The sequence below is a fragment of the Homo sapiens genome, chromosome 3, assembly GCF_000001405.40.
Source record: "Homo sapiens chromosome 3, GRCh38.p14 Primary Assembly".
NCBI lineage: Eukaryota > Metazoa > Chordata > Mammalia > Primates > Hominidae > Homo > Homo sapiens.
Window position 1 is genome coordinate 184,611,562 of NC_000003.12, and position 19,448 is coordinate 184,631,009.

General features: G+C 47.7%; 3 annotated features.

Annotated features, from left to right (window-relative positions):
* Window positions 1,621–2,121: an enhancer, noted in NCBI's record as "H3K4me1 hESC enhancer chr3:184330970-184331470 (GRCh37/hg19 assembly coordinates)". NCBI's record gives its function as "activates a minimal SCP1, AML or CMV promoter by ChIP-STARR-seq in primed H9 embryonic stem cells {active_cell/tissue: H9 hESC(primed)}" and the evidence as "EXISTENCE:reporter gene assay evidence [ECO:0000049][PMID:30033119]".
* Window positions 2,122–2,622: an enhancer, noted in NCBI's record as "H3K4me1 hESC enhancer chr3:184331471-184331971 (GRCh37/hg19 assembly coordinates)". NCBI's record gives its function as "activates a minimal SCP1, AML or CMV promoter by ChIP-STARR-seq in primed H9 embryonic stem cells {active_cell/tissue: H9 hESC(primed)}" and the evidence as "EXISTENCE:reporter gene assay evidence [ECO:0000049][PMID:30033119]".
* Window positions 18,170–18,841: an enhancer, noted in NCBI's record as "H3K4me1 hESC enhancer chr3:184347519-184348190 (GRCh37/hg19 assembly coordinates)". NCBI's record gives its function as "activates a minimal SCP1, AML or CMV promoter by ChIP-STARR-seq in naive H9 embryonic stem cells {active_cell/tissue: H9 hESC(naive)}" and the evidence as "EXISTENCE:reporter gene assay evidence [ECO:0000049][PMID:30033119]".

Here is a 19,448-nt window from a genome sequence, read left to right on the forward strand (position 1 = left end):
CCCTTCAACCTCTTTTCATTTGCCCAACCCCAGAAAGGCCAACTATAGACCCCATTTCTCCAGTTTCTCTTTTGAGACTTCTCTTGGAAGATGAAATGAAATGCCTTGCTCTTGAAGTTGAGGAAGATTATGTGTCTCTTGCCGTTCTTGATTTACCAGGCCCAACATTCTGTCCTAGAAGGAAATTGGATTACTCTGACAGAATGTATTCTTTGGAAAGCAGTGCTGGTTATTACCTAATTCCTTATGACCTAGTGTTTGCAGATTGATTTTTTGACGACGTGTCCCAGTAGTTTTCTATTATAGCAGTTTGGTGGATAGGCCCAGCACTTGCAGAGGCATCTGCTTTCCCCCAGGTTTGGAAAGAGGCAGGGACCGGCTGCCTGGGTCTCTTGTCTCCAGGCCCCTCACCAGTTCTCCATAAATCCCCTCAGAGTGAGAGCTAGTGATTGGATTCCAATGTGGGCCAATTTCTTAAGTACCTAAGCATGTAAGTCATCAGGGCCTGTGGATGGGAATACACAAGTTCTTTCCTTATCCCCCTGGCTTCCTGCCTGCTCGTGATTCCACATGGTGCCTCTTTCAGTTTTCAGATCACAGCTGACCTTTTTAGGCTAAGAAAAAATTAAAAGGCTCTGCTTTTTCAGTGTCGTTGCTTATAGGCTTTCTCTCCCCAGCGAAAAACGTGCCAGCAATCCCCTTATCCCCTTTCTTTGGCCCATTATAGTTAGCAAATGTTTTTCTCATTCTTTTGCCGCCTTGTGCAAGTTATATCCCATTTCTTTTCTGAACAAGTTTTCTGATTTTATCTCCACAGCCTTTTTTTTTTTTTTTTTTTTTTTTGTATTTCTTTGTGTGTACCCCTCCTTCGGAACCTGCCCTAATTTCCACTTTCTTTGGCTTGTCCGTTATCATTTTAGTTCTCCGGGAAGCTTTCTGCATAACTAACATGGAATCGCTGGGTTCCTTTTAGCTGCTTTATGCATCGGGATAGTTTCATTCTCTTTTCCTAATTTTGTTGCCTTATGTGGAAATGTCCAGTTCTCCTTAGAGAGTGCCCATGGTTCTTAAACTTTGTCTTTGTGTTTTTCATCTTGAGTCTCAAAGCCTGGTGCAGAACGCTTTCAGGAAGGGCCAATATCTGGATCTTGTTTGAGTTTCTGCTTTTCTTCCTTTCTCTCAGATGGTGCTAGCTTTTCTCAGTGCTCCCTTCCATTCCCCAGTCTTTTTTTTTTGAGACAGAGTCTTGTTCTGTCACCCAGGCTGGAGTGCAGTGGCGCAATCTCGGCTCACTGCAAGCTCCGCCTCCCAGGTTCATGCCATTTTCCTGCCTCAGCCTCCCAAGTAGCTGGGACTACAGGCGCCCGCCACCATACCCAGCTAATTTTTTTTTGTATTTTTAGTAGAGACAGGGTTTCACCATGTTAGCCAGGATGGTCTCGATCTCCTGACCTCGTGATCTGCCCGCCTCGGCCTCCCAAAGTGCTGGGATTACAGGTGTGAGGCACTGCGCCCAGCTCCCCAATGTCTTCAGTTTGTGAGTAGCAAACCGAGTCAGGACCTGCTCCCCAAGGCCTCACAAACCGGGCAACCAGAATGGGGAGGGGACCAGCAGCTGCATTTGGCCTCTGATACCCAGAGTGTGGATGGGGTCACTTACCAGGAGTGTTTGGTTACCATAAGGGGCTCCTTCCATTCACAGACCCATTTCCTCGTTCTCAGACTCCCTCATTCCCTCATTCCCTCCAGAACCTCTGTGTTAGTCTGGGGTCCTGCCCGCTGTGGGCTCACGGGGCACATGAGCCTTCTTGAATATTAGGTCAATAATGGCCTGGTGCAGTGCACCAGCTAGTAATATACACAGAAATCAGGTTAATGACGTAGAAGGTGGTGAGTGCAAGGCCTGTAGACAGTGGTGTGGGAGCGATGCGCTCTGCCAGTCTACTGCAGGAGGCTGCTCCACAAAAGCCATATTCCAGCAGGGTCTTTACATTTAGGAATGTGTTTGCCAGGAAGGGGGATGTAGAGGAGCATTCCAGGCAGAACAGGATGTGCAAATGCAGAGAGGGCCATCTGGGACTGGCCACGTCAGGCAAACGGAGTCTCCAAACCCCATGAAAGCCTGTTGTCTTTCCAACCCTCCACTGGTCTGGATGGATCACGTCAAGATGGCTCTGGGAAGGGCCCTTTCAGTGCCTCCCCAGGGGCGCCCAGTGCTCCCAGAGCCACCTGCTGTCAGCTCCAAACTTGCCTGTTGAGTGAAGGCTTTCTCCATCCAGCCTGGCCAGTGCTGACTGGAGGCTCCAAACCTAGTCCCTTCCCTTCCCCCATGGCTACGACAATAGGGACGCTCTGAATCTTCCCTGCACTCCGCCCTGTTTTCTTCCCCCCAGCATCCAGCTAAGCATCCTCTACATTATAGATTCAATTTTTTACGTCTAGAAAAACTAGAAAATACAGAGTAGTAAAAATGTTAAAATAGCTTCAAAAAGTATGCATATGCCGGGCACAGTGGCTCACGCCTGTAATCCCAGCACTTTGGGAGGCCAAGGTGGGCAGATCACCTGAGGTTGGGAGTTGGAGACCAGCCTGACCAACACGGAGAAACCCCGTCTCTACTAAAAGTACAAAATTAGCCAGGCATGGTGTCGCATGCCTGTAATCCCAGCTACTCGGGAGGCTAAGGCAGGAGAATCGCTTGAACCCGGGAAGCGGAGGTTGCAGTGAGCTGAGATTGTGCCACCGCACTCCAGCCTGGGCAACAAGAGTGAAACTTCATCTCCAAAAAAAAAAAAAATGCGTAATCCCATCATTCAGAGTTAACCTTGTCAACATTTCGATGTATATCCTCCCAGATGTATCATTTCCTTTTACAAAATAGGCAGCTGTCACGGGCATCTTTTAGAAGTATGTATATATCTGGCCCATGATTCCAAACAGCTTCGTAGTACTCCACTGTGCAGCTGAACCATCACTTATTTAAACCTGGAAGCTTGATGAAGGGCACCGACTGAATGAACAAAAATGAGGAAGGGCCTTTGTAGATTCCTCTTCTGCATCTTCCATGTTCCTTTGGAGCCAGTGTTTTGAATGTATAGAAAGTGCGCTGGTCAAGATGTGAGTTTGAATGCAGGCTCTTTCGTCCGTGTGTGCGGGTCTCAGATCTATCCACACATCTTGCTGAGCCCATCCTGTTTGGCATTTTTGCGCATTGAACACAACTGACCACTCCCCATTATTTACCTCTTCTTCCTTGGGCCTCAGACGATGTCCTCCAGCCCAGCACTTCTCCCATATTTCGCCTTTCCTTCTTAGTTTCTGGAACTGGAAACTTTTCTCCTGACCAGCACTCATGTCAGTACCCTCCAGGCCTCTGTTCCCGGCTTCCTCTCTGCTTCTTCCCACCTTGTCATATTCAGTTTGTTTCCTTTGGATGACCCATCTAGTTCCATAGATTTGAGGGCCAAACTCTCCCTGGCCCATCTCTCCTGAAATCTGCATCCACATAGTCAAGGGCCTAAAGAACATCTCCATCAGAAACTCAATGATGTGGCTGGGCGCGGTGGCTCACGCCTGTAATCCCAGGAGGCAGGAGGATCACCTGAGGTCAGCAGTTCGAGACCAGCCTGGCCAACATGGTGAAACCCCATTTCTACTAAAAATACAAAAATTAGCCGAGCATGGTAGAGGACGCCTGTAATCCCAGCTACTCAGGAGGCTGAGGCAGGAGAATCGCTTGAACCCAGGAGGCAGAAGTTTCAGTAAGCCGAGATTGTACCACTGCACTCCAGCCTGGGTAACAGAGCAAGCCTCCATCTCGAAAAAACAAAAAGAAACTCAATGTTGCCACATCTGAGCTCACTTTTTCTTCCCCCAAACTTCTTCCTCTTGGGGTCTCTGTCTCAGTGACTGCCTGTCACCTAAGCCAGCAGCCAGAAGCTGTCTTGAGTCTTTTGCCCTCCCGCCCCTACCTCCATATCCAGCCCCTTAAGCAGCCTTATTCCTGATGGTACCAGCACCTTCCTCCAGCCCTGTCCTACTCTGCTCCAACATCTGCTATAGCCAGGCCATGGTGTCCTCCTTCTGGGTGACACCTGCAGCCTTCTCAATTGTTCCACACCTTTAGATTCTCCTACCATCCATCTACCAGGATACCTTTTTAAAAATTGAGGCATTACTTGAATACAATAAGATGTGCATATTTTAAGTGTACAGTTTGATGATTTTTTGTTTTTTGTTTTTCAGATGGTGTCTCACTCTGTCACCCAGGCTGGAGTGCAGTGGCACAATCTTAGATCACTGCAACCTCCCCATCCTGGGTTCAAGTGATTCTCCTGCCTCAGCCTCCTGAGTAGCTGGGATTGCAGACACCCGCCACCACCCCCAGCTAATTTTTGTATTTTTAGTAGAGACGGGGTTTCACCACGTTGGCCAGGCTGGTCTTGAACTCCTGACCTCAGGTGATCTGCCCTCTTCAGCCTCCCAAAGTGCTGGGATTACAGGCGTGAGCCACCGCGCTCAGCCTGATGAATTTTAATAAATATATTGCATCCGTGTAGCCACCACCCCAATAAAGATAGAGAAAATTTCCATTATCTCTGTGAATGTTCCTTAGAATCCTTTTCAATCAATCCCCTTTCCCATGGGCAATCTCTCTTCTGATCTCTTCCCTAGATTAGTTTTGCCTCTTCTATAGAAATTCTTACAAATGGAATCATATAGTTTGCATTGTTTTGGTCAGCAAAATGCTTTTGAGATTCCTTCACATTGTCATCACAATCACTTAAAAGTGAGTATTTATTTAAATTAGTCTCCTATTAAAACTTTTCATTGGCTCCCCGTTATCCAAATTCCAGGCCCCTGAATGATCTGGACTCATCTCACACACTGCCTACCCTTGAACTTTCACCTTTAGGAATACTGAGCCATTTGTTCACCTGCACAAACGTAGCTTTTCATGGGTTGAGTCCTGCAGCTGGAATCCCTTAACTCCTACACAGTTTGCCTGGTGCACTCCTACTCATCCGGCAGCATTCCGCTCACATGTAGATTGTGTGAGGCTTTCTCTGACCTGTTCCCACCCCCAGGACAAAGAGTCTGTCAGCTGCACTATAATGGACTGTGTCCACTATTCTCGACACCCAGAACCCCTGCCCTGCATCAACTGAATGGATTCCTTTCTCGGTGTGAGTGCTGTGTCTTGCATGTCATTTATCATTGTGCCCACTGCACTGTATGTGTTTATGGACTTGTGTAACCCCTTAGCTATGCTCACTTAGCTATGCTCAGAGGGATAGAAAGATTCATTTTGTTTCCAGAAATTCTTCCCGTGGAAGACAGTCATGCTGCCTACCCAAGAGCCTACCCAAGAAGTACTCCACTGTGCAACTGAACCATCAGTCTTGTGCAACAAGAAGCAAGACAGGCGGGGCATGGTGGCTCACACATGTAATCCCAGTACTTTGGGAGGCCGAGGTGGGTGGATCACCTGAGGTCAGGAGTTCGAGACCACCCTGGCCAACATGGCAAAACCCCATCTCCTCTACTAAAAATACAAAAATTAGCTGGGCGTGCTGGCAGGCTCCTGTAATCCCAGCTACTCAGGAGGCTGAGGCAGGAGAATCTTTTGAACCTGGGAGGCGGAGGTTGCAGTGAGCTGAGATCACGCCATTGCACTCCAGCCTGGGCAACAGAGCGAGACTCTGCCTGAAAAAAGAAAGAAGAAGAAGGAGAAGGAGAAGGGGGAGGAGGAGGAGGAGGAGGAGGAGAAGGAGAAGAAGAAGAAGAAGAGGAAGAAGAAGAAGAAGAAGAAGAAGAAGAAGAAGAAGAAGAAGAAAAGAAGAAGAAGAAGAAGAAGAAGAAGAAGAAGAAGAAGAAGAAGAAGAAGAAGAAGAGGAAGAAAAGGAAGCAGCAGCAGCAGCAGCAGCAAGATGGAAGGCGGAGGTTGCGGTGAGCTGAGATCACGCCATTGCACTCCAGCCTGGGCAACAGAGCGAGACTCTGCCTGAGAAAAGAAAGAAGAAGAGGGAGAAGGAGAAGTAGAAGGAGGAGGAGGAGGAGAAGGAGGAGGAGGAGAAGGAGAAGGAGAAGGAGAGGAAGAGGAAGAGGAAGAAGAAGAAGAAGAAGAAGGAGGAGGAGGAGGAGGAGGAGGAGGAAAAGGAGAAGCAGCAGCAGCAGCAGCAAGACAGTCTTGCTGCCTACCCAAGAAGACTGCTGGGTCTTCTTGCTCTCTGAAGCAGAGAAATCAGCAGTCTTCTTTGCTAACAGACCCTGATCTTGTTCAGGCAACCACGTGCCTAGAGATAGCTTTGCCAGTGATCAGTTGAGGAGTGGTATAATTCCGGCCAAGGAGATGTTAAGAGGACATCTTCTGGGAAAGCTTTTTCTTCCTGAAAAAAAAGAAACCAGAAGCAAATGCTCCATTTTATGCCTTCCTCTTTCCTCTTATTTGGGACACTATTGTGTGATGGTATGATGTTTGGAGTTGTAGCAGCCACCTGGTGACCATGAGGCAGAGACGAAGAAGAGTGCAGAAACATTGATCCCGAACCCTGGCATCAGTGAGGGTCTAAACACCCCTCCTTCCAACTTCCCATTATGTGAGGTAATTAAATGACTTTACTGCTTAAGACACAATTAGTTGGATTTTCTGACATTTGCAATTGAAGGACTCTTAATTGATATATTTTGTGAGTAAACTTTTTATTTTGGGATAATTGTAGAAACTGTAAATCTTCATGAGATTATAAAGCACTTGATGTCCAGATGATGGTGCAGACCCATCTGGAGCTGTCCTCTAGCGTGGCCGTAGCATGTCCACTTAGAGTGTGCCTCAGGGAGCTTCTGCCTTCTCTCCTTGTTCCTCAGTCTTCGGACCTCTCAACCCTCCCTTAGGAAAAAGAAAAGGGCTTCCTCCTCTGGGCCTCTGAGTCAGGCTGTCAATCAGTCCATTCCATCCAGCTTTACCCCACTGGAGTAGGGGGAGAAGGCTTCAGGTCCCAGATTATCTTCTTAACAACCCATGAAAAAGGCATTGTTGCTCCATTTTGTAGAAAAACTTAGTCATGTTAGTAAAAAACCTGATCAAGATCGCACAGTCAGTAACAGAGGAGCCCCACAACCTGGTCTTCCCAAACTCACCATCTTTATACCTCAAAATGTGACCTCCCTTGGGCTTAAATCATGTCAGTATCAAGCAGGTGGTGTGCACGTTGCTTTGGATGGCAGCCATGAAAATGCCCCATCAGATCTCCTACTGCTGGGAGTGTCATCGACCAAGGCCACGGCTCCTAAGGCCATGCTTCCCATGGGCTTCCTGCCACCCAAGGCTGAGCACAGCAGGGGCGCTAAGACAGGACCAATCTTGGGAGATGCAGGGCTGCTCTGAGGACATCGTTAGCTCAAGGACTCCCAGTTGGTTTGACCGGAACTTTCCTAGAGCTGTGCTGAGTCTGAGACTTTGCTCATCCAACCCTCCTTCCTTCTCCCTCTTCCTGGCAAGGGTCAGACCCACAGCCTGGTCTGAAAGTTCCCGCCTCTGCTGGCTCATTTCCCTTTTCCCCTCGCAGATATTTTCCCCAGTAAATCTCTTGCATATCTAATCTTGTCTTGGGATCTGGCTTCTTACAGGACCTGAACTAATGTGCTTTGATTTTTAACCCTCCAAATTCAACCTGGCAACCTGTCTGTAAAGCACCTGGCACATACTAGGTTCTCTTCTCTTTTCCTCTCAGAGTGTGGGTGTTAACAGTGGCCATGCTGTGAGGCTGTTTCTGTCTCCAGTGGGAGCAAGGTGGACTGCCCTGTGACCAGGAGAATATGCACATACCAGAAAACCTATGCCTCCTGAGGTTCAGAGAGGCTGAGGGACTCACCCGAGGCCACACAGCTCATGCCTGAGTGCCCACACAGATACACACACATGCATGGGATGGGGAGACAAAGTTAGGGTGGAGAGACAGGGTCAGGATGTAGTGTGGGGCAGACAAAGGGCACGAGGAAAGCAGCCCCTTCCTGCCCCTCCCTGCTGACTTCCCAGGCTGGTCTGTATGTTTTGGTGTCATGGCAACTGGCTGTGGGGGCTGTACGTGGAAAGTGAAGCTTAACCTTAAGACACTGTGGGGAGCTAAATGAGCCTAAAAGATATCAGGTCCATGATTTTCCAGCCTCCCAGCCTTGCTCCAGCCTGGAGATACTGCCAGCCCATGCCAGCCCTCGGTCATCAGGAAATGCCTTTCTCTACTTACTCTTACTGCCTATCCTGCCCATTGGGCTCACCTGCAATCATTATACTAACTCTGACTCTGGAATCCTCTCTTCTCTTCTTGTTTGTCTAAATCCTCTCTCTCTGTCAGGGCCGAGTTCCAGTCCCACATTCTCTGGAAGCCTTCCCCGGTTTCCCTAGCCCATGTAGCTCTTTTCTTCCTCTGATCGCAGCTAGCAATCCCTGCACTATCTGGAGCACTCACATTATGGCATTTCAACTTTGTCTCCACGCAATTCAACAAGCTCCTCATATGGGCTGGACATCCTGCTGAGTGCTGTATGTTCCTGTGGGTATCTTGGGGGCTAAATCTACTCTAGGCTTGTTAGACTTCGGACAGGCAGCAGCTGACCATCTAGCACTTATGGACCATTTATGACAAGGAGAGGCTCCCATCAGCTCCCAAACTAGGCAAGACAGAGGGTGCAGGTGGTAACTTGTTAGAGCCTTGGACTCGGAGTCCAGACAGGCCACTGTCTGAGTCTTGTTTTTCTAAGCTATAAAATGAGGATGACAGTACCTACCTCACAGACTTGTTCTGAGGACAAATGATATGATGAGATAATATATGTAAAGTAGCAAACACAGTAATTGATGTGCTTGTTGTTTGCTTTTTCCATGCCAGTGGCCCCTGCCTCCACCCCATAGCCCCTGAGTCTACCTAAATACAAACACTGTGTTCCCTTTGGGGCTGTTCAAAGAACTCCCTGTCTTGGATTGTAGAATTAAATAGGAAGAGGCTTGCCCTCTAGAAGCTCACCATCAGGTGCTTCTCACGCTTGCTCTCACTGAATCCTCCGCCAACTCTGGGACAGGAAATAGTATTCCTGTGTCATAGATGACTGAGCCGGGGCTCAGGGAGGTTGAGTCAGACTCAGGCCTGAGACAGATGATAAGCCCTAAGCAAACAGGCAGCCATTGGGTGAGAACACTTTATACTGTGCAGGTGTCAGCTCTGTCCAAATAATTCTTTAAATTCAAAAAGTAATGCCAGGCAAAATCACAACAGGGTTTTTGGGGCAGGGCGGGGGAGAGATTTAACAAGGCCATTCTAAAACGAATCTGGAAGAGTAACTGTGTCGCAATAAACAAAAAATATTTGAAAAAGGAGTACAATGAGGGGAGACTTCCCCTATCAGATATCAAAACACTACCAAGCTGTACTCTTTAAAATCGTGTGCTGGCCTGAGACAAGACAGATGGATCAATGTCACTGAACAGAGAGCTGAAAAAGGGGTTCTGCATTAAGAGGAATTCAGTGTGTAATAAAGTAGCATTTAAAAGCAGCAGAACAAACTTTCAGTTATAAGATGAATAAATTATGGGGATCTAATGTATAGCATGGTGACTATAGTTAATTATACTGTATGGTATACTAGAAATTTGCTAGGAAAATCGGTTTTTCTTTTGTTTTTTATTTTTTATTTTTTGAGATGGAGTTTTTCTCTGTCAGCCAGGCTTGAGTGCGGTGGTGCGATCTTGGCTCACTGTGGCCTCTGCCTTCCGAGTTCAAGCGAGTCTTCTGCCTTAGCCTCCTGAGTAGCTGGGACTATAGGTGCGTGCCACCATGCTTGGCTAATTTTTGTATTTTTAGTTGAGATGGGGTTTCACCATGTTGGCCAGGCTGGTCTTGAACTCCTGACCTCACGTGATCCGCCCGCCTCAGCCTCCCAAAGTTCTAGGATTACAGGCGTGAGCCACCATGCCTGGCCCAGAAAATAGATCTTAAGTGTTTTCACCACACACACACACACACACACACACACACACACAAAGGTAACTGTGTGATGAACGTGTTAATTAGCTTGATTGTGGTAATCATTTCACAATGTAATGTATATCAAATAATCACGTTGTAGGCCTTGAATATATACAATTTTTATTTGTCAATTAGACCTCAATAAAGCTAGAAAAAAGCAATCGGGAAAAGAGGGATTCTTCAGCAAGTATTGTAGAGACAATTGGCTATCCTTGTGGAAAAAAACCATAAAGTTAGATTCGTGCTTCACACCATTCACTGAAATAAATTCCAGATGGATTAGAGAGCTCAATGTGAAAAAAACAAAGCTATAAAACTATTAAAAGAAAATATAGGAGAATTTGTTTATAACCTTGGGGTAGGAAAGGCTTCCTTTAGCAAGACACAAAACACAGAAACCATAAAGGAAAAGATTGCTAAATTTGATTATGTCCAAATTCAAAACTGGTGTATAACAAAAGACGCTGTAAATACTGTTAAAAGACAAGTGACAGACTGGAAGGTATCTAGAACATATGCAACAGAAAAAGATTAATATTCAGGATCTGTAATGAATTCCTACAATAACAAGCAAAAGATAAACAACCCCAAAGAAAAAATGGGTGCTGGGAATGGAATAGACAATTCACCTAAGAGGAACTGCAGATAGTCAATAAACATATGAAAACGTGCCCAGCCTCACTAGTAATCAAAGAAATGCAAGTAAAAATAACGCCAAGTTAATGGTTTTCACCTGTCAGATTTGCAAAATTTAAAAGAGATTTGCGCCGGGCGCGGTGGCTCACTCCTGTAATCCCAGCACTTTGGGAGGCGGAGGCGGGCGGATCATGAGGTCAGGAGATCGAGACCATCTTGGCTAACACACGGTGAAATCCCGTCTCTACTGAAAATACAAAAAAATTAGCCTGGTGTGATGGTGGGCACCTGTAGTCCCAGCAACTCGGGAGGCTGAGGCAGGAGAATGGTGTCAACCCGAGAGGCGGAGCTTGCAGTGAGCCAAGATCCTGCCACTGCACTCCAGCCTGGAGGACAGAGCAAGACTCCATCTGAAAAATAAATAAATAAATAAATAAAATAAAAAATAAAAGAGATTGGCAATGGCCACGGTTGGGAAGAATCTAAGGGCAATGAATACCTTCGTCACCATTGGTAAGAATGGAAATTGTCCTGGCATTTGCAGAGTGTGATCTGGCGGTACCTACTAAAGTGGAAAACACCCAAACTCTTCGCAAGAGCAATTCCAAATCTCTGCCGAGAGAAACGCTCCAAGTGTACAAGGGGCCGCCTTCACTTCGGGTCGTGGCAGTAGTGATGGAAATGTGAACAATCAGAAACAACTGAAATGTTCCTCGGTAGAGAAAGGGCCAAATACATCTCTGTTGTTGTTGTTGTTGTCTTTTGAGACAAAATCTCACTCCGTGGCCCAGGATGGTGTGCAATGGCGCAATCTTGGCTCACTGCAATCTCCGCCTCCTGGGTTCAAGCAATTCTCCTGCCTCAGCCTCCCAAGTAGGTGGGACTATAGGCACGTGCCACCACACCTGGCTAATTTTTGTATTTTTGGTAGAGATGGGGTTTCACCACCTTGGCCAGGCTGGTCTCGAACTCCTGACCTCAGGTGATCCACCCGCCTTGGCCTCCCAGAGTGCTGGTGTAAGCCACCACACCCAGCCCTAAATACATCTTTGAATGTGTACACTAGTAATGATTTTCTGGGGACCAAGCAATGAGAGAGACCTTTATATCCTGAAATGAAAAGGTCTCATTACAAGAGAAAAACAGGTCACAAAACAATATGGATCTGTTTGTATAAACATGGATGCGCACTTCACAACCGTGCATGAGAAAAGATACTCTAGAAGGTACCTACCAAACTGACACTCCCTAGGGAGGCGACTGGGACTGTGTGAGAGCCAAGGGGGGCTTTATCTGAACTATTTAACTTTTTTACAGTGCGTATGTATATGTGTTGTACTTATGTAATAATAATAATGCATTTAAAATAACTTGAAAGACCAGCTGTCACTCAATGCCTGGCAGCTTTATGCCTCTACTTCTCAAGCCCTACTCACTGCCGGTGCCCTGGACCTGTAACTTAGATCCTGTGCCTTGTTCCTGATTGTCCCCATCCCTGACCCCTCGCCACCTCCATCATACTAGGCTCTTAGTCTGGGTTCTTGGCCTGTGCCGTGTGGCCTTCTTGATTCCTGGTGCCTATCATGGGTTGGGAATAAGGGAGAATTGGACATGGTCATATGGCCCCAGGAGAGTACATGGTCCAGCAAAAGAAGAACTTCAGAGGCCGGGCGCAGTGGCTCACGCCTGTAATCCCAGCACTTTGGAGGCCAAGGCAAGTGGATCACCTTAGGTCAGGAGTTCGAGACCAACCTGGCCAACGTGGTGAAGCCCTGTCTCTACCAAAAATACAAAAATTAGCTGGGTGTGCTGGCGTGTGCCTGTAGTGGCAGCTACTCGGAAGGCTGAGGCATAAGAATCGCTTGAACGCGGGAGGCAGAGGTTGCAGTGAGCCAAGATGGCACCACTGCACTCCAGCCTGAGCAACAGAGCAAGACTCCATCTCATAAATAAATAAATAAGTAAATAAATAAATAAACAAACTTCAGAAAAGATGTGGTTGGAAAATGCAAGGAAAGCTTCCTAGAGCAGGTGACGTTTGAGCTGGGACTTGAAAGCAGGATAATTTTAATCCTAAACCCCACCTCAATTATGTTGAAAACTACATAACACCATCACAGAAATTTTGAATAATGGAGAGAAAACAATTCACCCATAATTTCACTGCCCTAACCCAACAACTTTTGTAAATTCCCTTCAATTCTTTGTCCACAAGACACTTATCATTTAAGTATACAATCCAAATAATACATTTGATTATATATATGTGTATATATATATGTGTATATATACATGTGTATATATATATGTGTGTGTATATATGTGTGTGTGTGTATATATATATATATATACATATACACACACACACACTTTTCTTTTTTTTTTCAAGAGACAGGGTTTTGCTATGTTGCCAAGGCTGGATTTGAACTTCTGGGCTCAAGTGATCCTCCTGCCCCAGGTTCCTCAGCTGGGATTACGGGTGTGCTCTGCTGTGCCTGGCTGGTTGTTGTTGTTTAGTATAACATCATATCACAGCCTCTTTTTACATTACTAAGTGATATGTATCGTCATCATCTGTTAATGACTATGGAATTTGCCATCCAGTGAGTGTGCTTCTGATTTAATTACCTATTCCCCTATTGTTGGCTGTTTAGGTTGTTTCTTATTACTAATGCTGCAATGAACATCCTTGAGCATGTAGGGTCTTTCCCCCCCCGCTTTTAGGTTATTTCCTTGGAACAAATAAACTCTCAGAAGTGGAAATACTGGGTCAAAATTTATGAACACTTTTATGGCCCTTGAAACATGTTGCCAAATTGCTTCTAAAAGTAGTTTCAGAATACACTGAGGGCTTTGTTAGGCAAATATGAGAGGTATAGAAATTGAATGGGGGTCCCAATTCCAAGAAACAGCATGTATAAAGGTGCATTGACCAGGACAGACTTCTGCAATTTATCCTTTGAATACCATGACACGGCCAAGATGTAGAATTTTATGGCAGATTCTGCTGGTTGGCAAACTAAGAAGCCGTTCACAGTCTCCTTCTTTCATGTTATTCTCCCACCATAGAAGGTAAAAGCCAGATAATCTCTTGCCCAGCTTCTTTTGCAGCTAAAAGTGACCATGTGACTCCATTTTGGGCTCGTGGAAGAATTCTTTCCTTCCTTTCAGGTTTTTAACCAGTTTATTAAATCTTTGAACTAGGAAGTTGAAGGTTTTTAATATCCCAATTAAAGGGGAAAATGTCATTGATGCCATCTCTCTTTCCTCCTCCTGCCCTGAATGCAGATGTGATGCCTGGAGCTGCGGCAGCCACATGACACCTATAGGGTTGGACAAGCGTTAGCACAAACAGGCAACACAGGAGGGTGAGAGAAAAGAGACAGAAAGACCCTGGTTTCTTGATATCACCATTTGAGTGGCTGAATCAATACCATCGACCTCTAACTTTTTATTATGTGGGAGAAGTATTTGATTATTTGATAATCATTATTTGATAATTGGGGGGGTAATTATCCTCCCTATTTGATTAAACCCTTGTTAGTCAGATTTTCTGTTACTTGCAGTCAAATGCTTCCTAACAGAGGCAAGGCTCCACCACCTTGCCCTGTCTCTCTCAGATAGCACCTGGGATTCAGATTCCCGTCCTGATAGAGTTTAAGTTTTCTCTCGGAACTGGTGACTTGGATTTCCACAGCTCAAGACATTTACCACCTGCCCACCTGTAGTGTGGGTGGAATCCTCTTTCTGATGCTGGATGCTCCCAACAGCCCTCAGAGTCTGAGAGCTGCTTCTATAGTCCCTGAGCCTTGTTTGTTTTTTCAAGAGCAGCTTGAAAAAGGACCTTGTGTTCAAGATACACTGTTGCTGGCTCCCTTTGAGGTCTCAAGAGAATTTTGAGCCAAGAGTCCTGGATTCATTTCTGGCTCTTTCCCTTACCAGTTGTATGTTGTATTGTCTTTTTTTCTTTTTCTTTTCTTTTTTTTTTTTTGTTTAGATGGAGTCTCACTCTGTCACCCAGGCTGGAGTGTAGTGGCGCAGTGTCTGCTCACTGCAACCTCTGCCTCCTGGGTTCAAGCAATTCTCCTGCCTCAGCCTCCGAAGTAGCTGGGATTACAGGTGTGTGCCACCACACCCAGCTAATTTTTGTATTTTTAGTAGAGACAGGGTTTCACCATATTGGCCAGGCTGGTCTCGAACTTCTGACCTCAGGTGATCCATCTACCTTGGTCTCCCAAAGTGCTGGGATTATAGGTGTGAGCCACCGCACCCAGCCCAGTTGTATGGTCTTAGTCACTTAATCTCTCTGAGTATCAGTCTTCTCCTGTAAATAGGGATGCCAGAGTTGCTGGAAGATTTAGAACTGCCAATCTGGTAACATGGTAAGGGCCTAATAAATGTCTTCCATTTGAACACTCAAAGAGGTGTGGCAAAGAGCCCATCACAGGCTGGGCGCGGTGGCTCATGCCTGTAATCCCAGCACTTTGGGAGGCCGAGGCGGGCGGATCACAAGGTCCAGGAGTTCGAGACCAGCCTGGTCAATATGGTGAAACCTCGTCTCTACTAAAAATACAAAAAAAATAGCTGGGCGTGGTGGCACATGCCTCTAATCCCAGCCACTCGGGAGGCTGAGGCAGGAGAATTGCTTGAACCTGGAGGACGGAGGTTGCAGTGAGCCGAGATTTTACCACTGCACTCCAGCGTGGGCGACAGAGTGAGACTCTGTCTCAAAAGTACATAAATAAATAAATAAATAAATAGAGCCCATCATGTAGCAAAACTGGGGATAGACTCTAGCGTGTGGAGCCTCTGTCAAGGTGCCTTCCAATAGCATGTGGCCTCCTCTGTGGACACCTGATGCTGGGAGTGACGCAGGTTCTGCCCTGCTCAGAATAGAAATTGCAGACGGGGGTTGTCCCTGGGCAGGCAACTCTAGGCTACTCTGGGGCTGGGTTTAGCACGTTCTGAACAGGCTCCCAGGGGAAAGAAGGAACGTCTTCTTCCAGGCTCTGGGGACTGCAGGGCCTGCTGAGACCTTGGTGCTGCTCCTAAGCCCCTGGAGGTAGAGCCAGACCTCCCCTGCATCCCTCCAAGTAGCCAGAGTCAAGGTCAACCTGCTCACTTCCCTCCCACAAAGTCTGCAGTGTGGGGGTGGGGGGTGGGGGTGGGAAGCAGCCCCGGTCTCTCCTGCACATTCCCAGCTGACAACTTGACAACTACAGTACCCGAGCCAAAATTAGGACATGGCTCTGTCAAAGGATTCTTTCCATGGCTGAATATATTTATTTGAAAGTTCTTATCAAGGAATAAAAATGAAATCTGCCAGAGGTTTAATGAATCACCTTAATTTGAAGGAACACAAATATGGGCAAACAGGGTCATCTCAGACAGGCTGAATGATGTCAGGAGAGACCTCCTTCTCCACGGCTGAGAGGTAGAAGTCTTCGGCCCAGGGGCAGAAGGAGAGAGGTGGAAGGGGGTGGGCCCTGGTCAGAAGTTACTTGCCTTGAACAAATTCTCCAAAACTAGCAGCTTTTCAACAATTTTTGAAGGGATTGTACAGGCCTATTGATTAGTGAAACCAGAATGAAAAGATGTAAATGGATACAGTGTGAAAGTGAGTCTGGGGGGCCGGGCGTGGTGGCTCAGGCCTGTAATCCCAGCACTTTGGGAGGCCAAGGCGAGTGTACTACCTGAGGTCGGGAGTTGGAGACCAGCCTGGCCAACATGGTGAAACCCTGTTTCTACTAAAAATACAAAAATTAGCTGGGCATGGTGGCGTGTGCCTGTAATCCCAGCTACTTGGGAGGCTCAGGCGGGAGAATCGCTTGAACCTAGGAGGTGGAGGTTGCAGTGAACCGACATTGCCCCATTGCACTCCAGCCTGGGCAACAAGAGTGAAACTGACTCAAAAAGAAGGAAAGAAAGAAAGAAAGAAAGAAAGAAAGAAAGAAAGAAAGAAAGAAAGAAAGAAAGAAAGAAAGAAAGAAAGGGAAAGAAAGAAGGGAAGGAAGGAAAGAAGGGAAGGAAGGATGGAAGGAAAGAAAGAAGAAAGAAGGAAAAGAAAGAAAGAAAGAAAGGAAAGAAAGAAGAAAGAAGGAAAGGAAAGAAAGAAAGAAGAAAGAAGGAAAGAAAGAAAGAAAGAAAGAAAGAAAGAAAGAAAGAAAGAAAGAAAGAAAGAAAGAAAGAAGTCAGTCCAGGGGCCACAGAGAGCTGATGGTGGGAGGGACACAGTGTTGTTTTACTCACTCACCCCTGCCCCCAGTTTACTGGCAGAGCAGGTCCTGCACCTACCCTGACCCTTTACCTGTGTAATTATCCAGCTCTGCACTGGGGGGAGGCCAGGTTCCTACCCTGCACAGACAATTTCCATTTCCCTTCCATAGCCACCTGCAGCCTAAGGCAGGGAAGGAAGGGAGAGAGCGGTGTGAGGCCTGGGAAGGACCCTCTTCTCAGCAGCATAGCAAGCTTATTCCGAGGGTGTTTCCACCAGCCCAGAATAAGGTTGGAACCCCCGTAAGCCTGCTCATCATTGCACTGCTTTAGGGGACATGTACCCCCAGTCCCCTCACTCACCTGTGTTTGGATGCCTTCTGGTTGTGACTTGGCCCCTGCAGGCCTCCGGAGAAGAGCCCATCGAAGGACAGCTTGTCACCTGACACGAGGGGAAGACAGGGGGCCCTGGTTGCACATCCTTTTTCTGCATCTTCCTCTCTGATCTCAGTCAAGGTATGTAGTCTCACTGAGCATCAGTGTCCTCTTCTGTAACAGGGACCTAGTGATTTCTACCCTTTAGGCCAGATCATACATGCAGAGCCCCGATTTCTTTGTCTGGCACACAGTAGGCCGTTGATAAGTAGTGACCATTAGTATGTAAAAACCATTAAGGCACATAAAAGTATAAGAGCTAACAACAATAATAATAATTATGGCAATTATCCTGCCCTCCTCCTTACACCCAGGCAGAAGGAAGCCAGGAGGGAGGACGCTGCCGTCCTTCCAGCCTGATGACTGACTTCTCATAGAGAGATTCTTGTTGTTCTTGGGCAGATGGGCTCTGACTAATTTCCACATTCACTTTCTTCTTGCATAGCGCCATTCACACCTAGGAGATGGCTTGACCTTCTTCTCAGCTGGGTAGGGTGCCGCTTCTGCCCCCCATAATAATCAGGCCCCGGAGGCTACCACCTGGGGCTGCTGGGGGTGACCCATCCCAGCTGCCCTAGTTCCAACGGCCCCGTGAGTTCTCAGCTGCCCTAATCCCAACAGTTCTGTGAGATCTTAGCAGCCCTAGTCCCAGCAGCCCCTTGAGTGATCCCTTCTTGTCCCTCTCCTGCCCTGCTCAGCTAAAGAAGGACTGAGCTGCTGTGACCCCAAGAAAGGTGCCGGTTGGCATCGCACTCAGCACTGACAGCAAGGCTGAGCACGCTCAGAGGGAAGGCGGAGAAGGCCCCCGCCTCCTGCTCACGGCCTACTGTCTCCACAGGCCCAGGCTGCACGGGCAGGACCGCGGCTACATGTCTGCAGCCTGGCTTAGCCTCTCAGCCGAGCCCCTCTCTCCTCCCCCACCTTCTCCCGCCTGTCGGGGGTAGGGAGTGAGAAGGGGATCTTAATTTCTCCTGCTTCTAATCAGCACCGCTGGGAGCATCAGCCTGCAGGGGGAGGAGGAGGTGAAAGGCCATGGGCCTAATCTACAAGCCACCCAGTCACCAGCGCCCAGCTTCCCTCCTCACAAGCCATGGAGCAAACAAATTATTTTTGTTGTTCCTGGGAAATCTGCAAGTACTTACCCGTGTGATTAGCATCTGTGCCTCATGCCGGCAGTTCAGGTGAAGAGGCCATGGCTAGTAGCCCGGTGCCGGGCCGCCTGTAATCAAAACCAAAGCGGCGGCCAGGGTGCTCTCTGGCAACGACGATGTCAAACTCAATCTGGCCCTCACCTGGGACAGCTTCTCTGGGAGCCCTATGCACGTTGAGGCCTCGGTAGCTCTGAAATAAATGCAGGAAGGGGCTGGGAGGCTGGGGTAGCCCAGCCTTCCCACAAGTAGCTCTGGCACTCCAAAGCCGGGGCAGATGGAGGGCCTGAGGCCTGACGCACTGATGCAAAAGCCTTGGGCCCAGGGATCTGCATTTTAAGCTGCATTCCAAGTGGCTCTGATGCGCCTCCAACGCTTGGGAAACACAGGATGCTGTCCAGGCTCCCCTGAGTCAGTCTAGTAGTCACAGCGATGAGCCCGGTTTCCAAATGCCTACGAGGTGCAGGCGCTTTATCTGCTAATACATTCTCTCATTGTCCCTTTGAGAAAGGTGTGAATATACCTTCATATAGATGAGGAAACTCAAGCTCAAGAGAATAAACCACTTGCCCAAAGACACAATGCAGGGCGGAGAGTCAAACTGAGGTGTGCCTGCCCGCAAACCCTGTTCTAGACCCTTCTGCAGAGTTAGGTCCCGCTTGGAGCTGCTGTCTCATGCGATGCGGAGGTGAAGTGGAGTCCCCCGACATTGCTCATGGACTGGCAGCCCCCTCGGCGAGAGAGCAGAGGGAGGGAATGACACAGAAAGCTCCGATGTGTCTTGTTCCCACCTAAGGGGCAAGCTGTTCTCAGCCTCCTGCTCAAAGCAGGGAATAACACGCATCTGCCTTTATTCCACGGGCGCAGAATATGGCATCCCTACGAGGAGCAGGAAGAACAGGCCAGAAACTGGCAAACAGCACACAAGGTGCTAGGACTGGGACAGAGCGCAGGAGCTCAGCATGGAGCCCACGGGGGAGGCACTCCTCGTGAC